The sequence below is a fragment of the Homo sapiens genome, chromosome 22 (assembly GCF_000001405.40).
Source record: "Homo sapiens chromosome 22, GRCh38.p14 Primary Assembly".
NCBI classification, from domain to species: domain Eukaryota; kingdom Metazoa; phylum Chordata; class Mammalia; order Primates; family Hominidae; genus Homo; species Homo sapiens.
In genome coordinates this window covers 49,300,212-49,305,216 of record NC_000022.11, presented here as the reverse complement: position 1 = coordinate 49,305,216, position 5,005 = coordinate 49,300,212, and the positions used below count along the sequence as shown (strand labels likewise).

Sequence of the window (5,005 nt, the reverse complement as noted above, 5' to 3'; positions counted from 1 at the left end):
CAGAATCGCACTGGGCTGGGGCTCTCTGGGCTGCAAACGGTGTCAGGGGGCTGGCTGGCCGGCAGGCTCACCCGGATTCTCAGGCCCTCCCCAGGTCCTGCTGTCTTCTGCAAACAGGGCCTGGAGGCACCTCCCGGGCTCCTGCAGTGGGGACCTGGGTGCCGAGAGCCCTGCTGTCCGAGGGGCAGAAGACATGAGAGCTGGACACCAGGCCTTGCTGCAACGCCTCAGCAAGCCCAGGATGGGCAGCTGCGTGATGAGGTCCCCTGCCCTGCCCTGTGCTGCTTTTTTTTTGAGACGGAGTCTTGGTCTTTCGCCCAGGCCGGACTGCAGTGGCGCTATTTCGGCTCACTGCAAGCTCCGCCTCCCGGGTTCACACCATTCTCCTGCCTCAGCCTCCTAAGTAGCTGGGATTACACCTGTGCTGGTTTTATGGAACCGGCCTTCTTGGGGTCCCTTGGGAGCTGCGTGCAGAGGTGAGACTGGGCTGCACTGCCTGGGCCTCGGGTCATTCTGCAGCCACAGCCCAGGGAGGTTGCTCGGGGTGGGCACTGTGCTGTCTGTGCCCAGGATGGGCTTACTGTTTCCACTTGGGTAGCAATGTTCCCCTCCACCGCTGATGGCCTGGAGCAATGTCCCCTCCACCGCTGAGGGCCTGTGATGGGGGTGGGGGTTCTGCTTTTCCTTCTATACTAAGCAGAATTTTCTGGTTTCCCTACAATGAATCTGCACAGTGTGGTGATTGGGTTGAAGTGCTGCCTGTGGCCGGGAGGCAGGGCTGGGCTCTGGGGTCTCCTCTCCTAGCTCTGCCCCTCCAGCCTGTGCTTTGCTGGGAGCTCCACCCTGCTGGGCCTCGTTTCCCCCAACACCGTCCACTTTTCCTTGGGCATCTTGGCTTCATGCTGTCTCGCACAGCCCTTCGTCCACCCAAGCCGCATCTCCCACAGCCCCTAGTTGGTGTTGTCTCCGTCCCTCCAGGTCCTAACCCCTGCCCCCGAGATGGGTGGATTGGCAGAGCCCAGCGTCCCTCCACCCTCCTGTGGCATGGCCAGGTCGGGGTCTCTCCCTGTCCCTGTCCAGGCCTGCATTCCCTCAGCCCACTTCACCTAGGGCTGCAACAGTGATGTTCAGGCCCATCTTCGGCCCCTGTCCTGTCCACACAGCACAGTGACCTCTGTGCCACACCCTGTGTACCCCAGGGTGCACCGCATCCCCGCCCTCCACAGACAGCCGTCCGCAGCCTGGCACAAAGCCGTGGGAGGACACTCACCGTGGCAGCGTTGACCCTTCTTGGGGCCAGCCTGGGCCTGGCGGGCAGGAGGACACATGGGCTGCAGGGAGAGGCCATTGCCTCTCCCTTGGGTGTCTGGGACCGTGTGTGCCTGTGTGCACCTGTGTGCTTGCCTGTGTGCGTGACTGTGTGCACCTGTGTGCGTGGCTGTGCACATTCTCCTCTCCTTCCTGGTGGATTCCAGGCCTCATGAAGCTGCACCCATGCCTCTGCCCTGGGCCCCTCTTCCCATCTCCTCCCTCTCTGCCCCAGGTCCTGGCACACAACTCAGGTCTCTCCAGCAGACCCTGGAGCAGGGGAACAGCTGCTCCCCACGGTGCCCCATGTACTGGAGAGCCTGAGGTCAGGGCTGAGCCCTCCCCTTCCTCACTGCCACCTCCCGGCACCGCCACCCACGCTCACCCCACCTCCCGTGGACCCTGTCTCCTGCCCACTTCAGTCCAGCAGCTTCTTGCGCTGCATTTTTCAGTGAAGCCGTTGCATCTGGCCTGGCTAGACCCTCAGACTTCCATTTCTCCCAAAGGTGGAGGTAATTAATTGCTTGTTCCACCCAGCCTGACTCTTCCCTAATTGCCTGGAGGAGTGATGAGCTTCCCAGGGGACTTCTGTGCCTCTGGGAGGCCCTCCCCAGGGTCGGTGGCTCAGTCATCTCATTCCCTTCACGTCCATTCCCGCTGTGGACAGACAGCACCTAACGAGGCCGCCACCCTGCAGCCCCCAGGCCCGGCAAGCCCCGCCTGCCCATTTCCACCATCCTCCAGGAGAGAGCAAATGGCCTCCAATCTACAGATAGTCACTCTTCATTCACTGCGTTTCCCTCCAGAAACAGACCTCTCAGATGCGCGGGGATCACAAATCCCAGCCCGCTCTGCCTTCCAAGCTGGGCTTCCTTTCCTGGGGTTTTACAATTACATGTTTCGCATGAGCTGGTCTGTGGCAGCTTTTACCTCTGTCTGTGGGGGCAAAGTGCTCCCTGCTTCACGGTCCTTACAGGAAACACGCGTGGGTCTCCCATGTGCTGGACAGTAAACACATGTGGGTCTTCCCTGTGCCGGACGGTAAACACGCGTGGGTTTCCCGTGTGCCTGACGGTAAAGATGCATGGGCCTCCTGTGTGCCGGATGGTAAACAGGCCCCGTGTGGGTCTCCTGTGTGCCGGACAGTAAACACACGTGGGTCTTCCCTGTGCCGGACAGTAAACACACGTGGGTCTCCCCTGTGCCGGACAGTAAACACGCGTGGGTCTCCCTGTGCCGGACAGTAAACACGCGTGGGTCTCCCCTGTGCCGGACAGTAAACACGCGTGGGTCTCCCTGTGCCAAACGGTAAACACGCGTGGGTCTCTCGTGTGCCGAACAGTAAACACGCGTGGGTCTCCCCTGTGCCCGACAGTAAACACGCGTGGGTCTCCCGTGTGCCGGATGATAAACACGCATGGGTGTCCTGTGTGCTGGACAGATGCTTCCATGCTTCCTGGTTTTATTCTCAAAACAACCTCAGGAGAAAGACATTATCTTCACTTTGCAGGTGATAAGCAGGAGCCCAGGGAAGGCAGATGGTTTCCCAGGAAAGAGGAAGACGAAAGACCCAGCCCAGGGTCTCTGAATCTGAGGCCTTGGAGCTGCCCGCTCCTCCCAGCTGACGGACTTCTGAAGACCCTGGAGGGTGTTCGTGCGCTTCCAGCCAAAGCGCGGAGAGGCCCAGCTCAGCGCTCGCCATGAGGACGAGCCTGCAGACTCCGGCCCCAAACCTCCCCTTGCCCTTGCAGTGCTGCAGCCTGGGGCAGCCGTGATGACGGGGCGCTTTCTGGGCCTCAGCACCAGCCACCTCCTGGGCAGGGGTTGTCTCCCCACAGCGGGGCAGAGGCCGCCCTCTGCAAGGTACACCTGGCCCAGGGGTTCTCGGAGCCCTGCTGCTCGCTGCTAAGGCAAAGCTGCAGGCGCCGCCCCCTCCTCCAGAGGTGACCCCGCGCTGGTGTCCTGAGCTGAAGTCTTTCCCACCTCCGGGCCTTGCCAGTGGGGTCTCTGTCTGCAACGCCCGCCGGCCCCGCCACGGGGAGAATTCATGTGTACTTTGCCCGCACCCACGCGTCCCTTGTATGATGTGGGCTCTCATGGAAGCCCGTGGAGATGCCGGGGGCCCAGTCTGAGCCTCGAGGGCCTTTTCACTTCCCCAGCGACGCCTGCCTGGCCTGTCCCTTTCCATGGACATTAGGCAGCCCCACGGGGAGGACCTGTTGGCCGACCTGGTCAGGCCGGGCCGTGTGCAGCGTGGCTGGTGAGGACGGTGGAGGAGGCTCCTGGAGTCATACCGTCCGGGGAGACCCTGCCATGGCCCCCTCATGGGACAGTGTCCTGGACCCACAGGCACAATTAGGGGAGTTTCCTGAGAAGTGGGAGAGTTTGGAAGCACATGTGTGAACAGAAGCAGCTTCGGGAAGAGCCTGCCTGCAGCCTCACCGAGGGGATCTGCGCTCTCTTTGCATACCTGGGCAGGTCTGAGCCTGGGTGGGCGTTTGGGTACCTGGCTGGCCACATCACACCTGAACTGGGGGTTCGAGGGTATCACACACAGGGCTCTGGGCCCTCCCTGCCTCAATCAGAGCTACCCCACTTCTTTCACACCCCAGGATTGTCACAGGGACTTTGAGGAGACGGTCCCAAGGTGAAGAAGGAGAAACCAGGGTTCAGTCAATGCATCCCACGGGTCAGGCGGAACTAGGGGGTACAGGCGAGCACCACAGTGGGCAAAGCAAGACCGCAGGCCTGGGCCCTCCCTCCCGGCCCACGCTGCCTGCCCTGCCCTCCCCAGCCCCCTCAGTCATCTGGGAGTCACCCCTCGGGCTGTAGGTGGGGGGACGGGACGGCCTTCTGGGGTTTCTGTGGACACGGTGGGCACCAACCATTGCCCTCTTCTGTGAGGTCACCGTCACCGTGATATTCAGGGAGGGGTTTTTCCGAATCTTTCCCTCTTCTGTGGGCTCTGCACAAGCCTTGTGTAATCGCCTCCACGTGGGCTCCTCTGGTGCAGGTTCTCACAACAAGATACAAAGAAACTCCTGTTTTGGGAAGAGGCGTCTTCCTGTGTGGGTTTATCAGTATGATGCAGTCAGGTCACTGCCCTATTGACAACGTACACACACAGTTAGCACACACACAGCACACACACAGCATACATCCACACACAGCACACATGCACACACTCAGCACACACGCACACACACAGCACATACACAGCTAACACAATGAGCACCCACATCCACACATAGAACACCTGACACACACACACACACTCACACACACACACACACACACACACACACTCATGCACACAGGGGTATTTTGTTTCTGTTTTGGTGGACGCAGGGGCTTTCCTGGAAGAAACTGTCTGCTCCATCACTTGCCCGCTGTGGTCCCCAGCCTGCTCCAGTCACAAGGCTTGGCTCCTTCCAGCCCTTCTCTCGGGGGCTGTGTGACCTCAGCAGAGCCCTCTGCCCCCTCCAGCGGCTTGGGGGTGTGCATGGCGCCCACAGACGGATGGCGTGGCCTTTGGCTTAGAGAAGCCACAAAGCGTGGTGCCCTCCTGCCGCCTCCCACATTTCCTCTTTGAGAAAATCCTGAAGGTTGGAGGAGGTGCGTGGAAAGCTGGGGTTGGCCTTCACTCCGGATGCTCTTTGCCTTGCCTGGGTAGGAATGAGACTTCATTTCATCCAGT

At 60.7% G+C, this 5,005-nt stretch overlaps 2 annotated features.

Moving 5' to 3' along the window:
• Window positions 245-938: an enhancer, noted in NCBI's record as "H3K27ac-H3K4me1 hESC enhancer chr22:49700204-49700897 (GRCh37/hg19 assembly coordinates)". NCBI's record gives its function as "activates a minimal SCP1, AML or CMV promoter by ChIP-STARR-seq in naive H9 embryonic stem cells {active_cell/tissue: H9 hESC(naive)}" and the evidence as "EXISTENCE:reporter gene assay evidence [ECO:0000049][PMID:30033119]".
• Window positions 3,228-3,789: an enhancer, noted in NCBI's record as "H3K27ac-H3K4me1 hESC enhancer chr22:49697353-49697914 (GRCh37/hg19 assembly coordinates)". NCBI's record gives its function as "activates a minimal SCP1, AML or CMV promoter by ChIP-STARR-seq in naive and primed H9 embryonic stem cells {active_cell/tissue: H9 hESC(naive and primed)}" and the evidence as "EXISTENCE:reporter gene assay evidence [ECO:0000049][PMID:30033119]".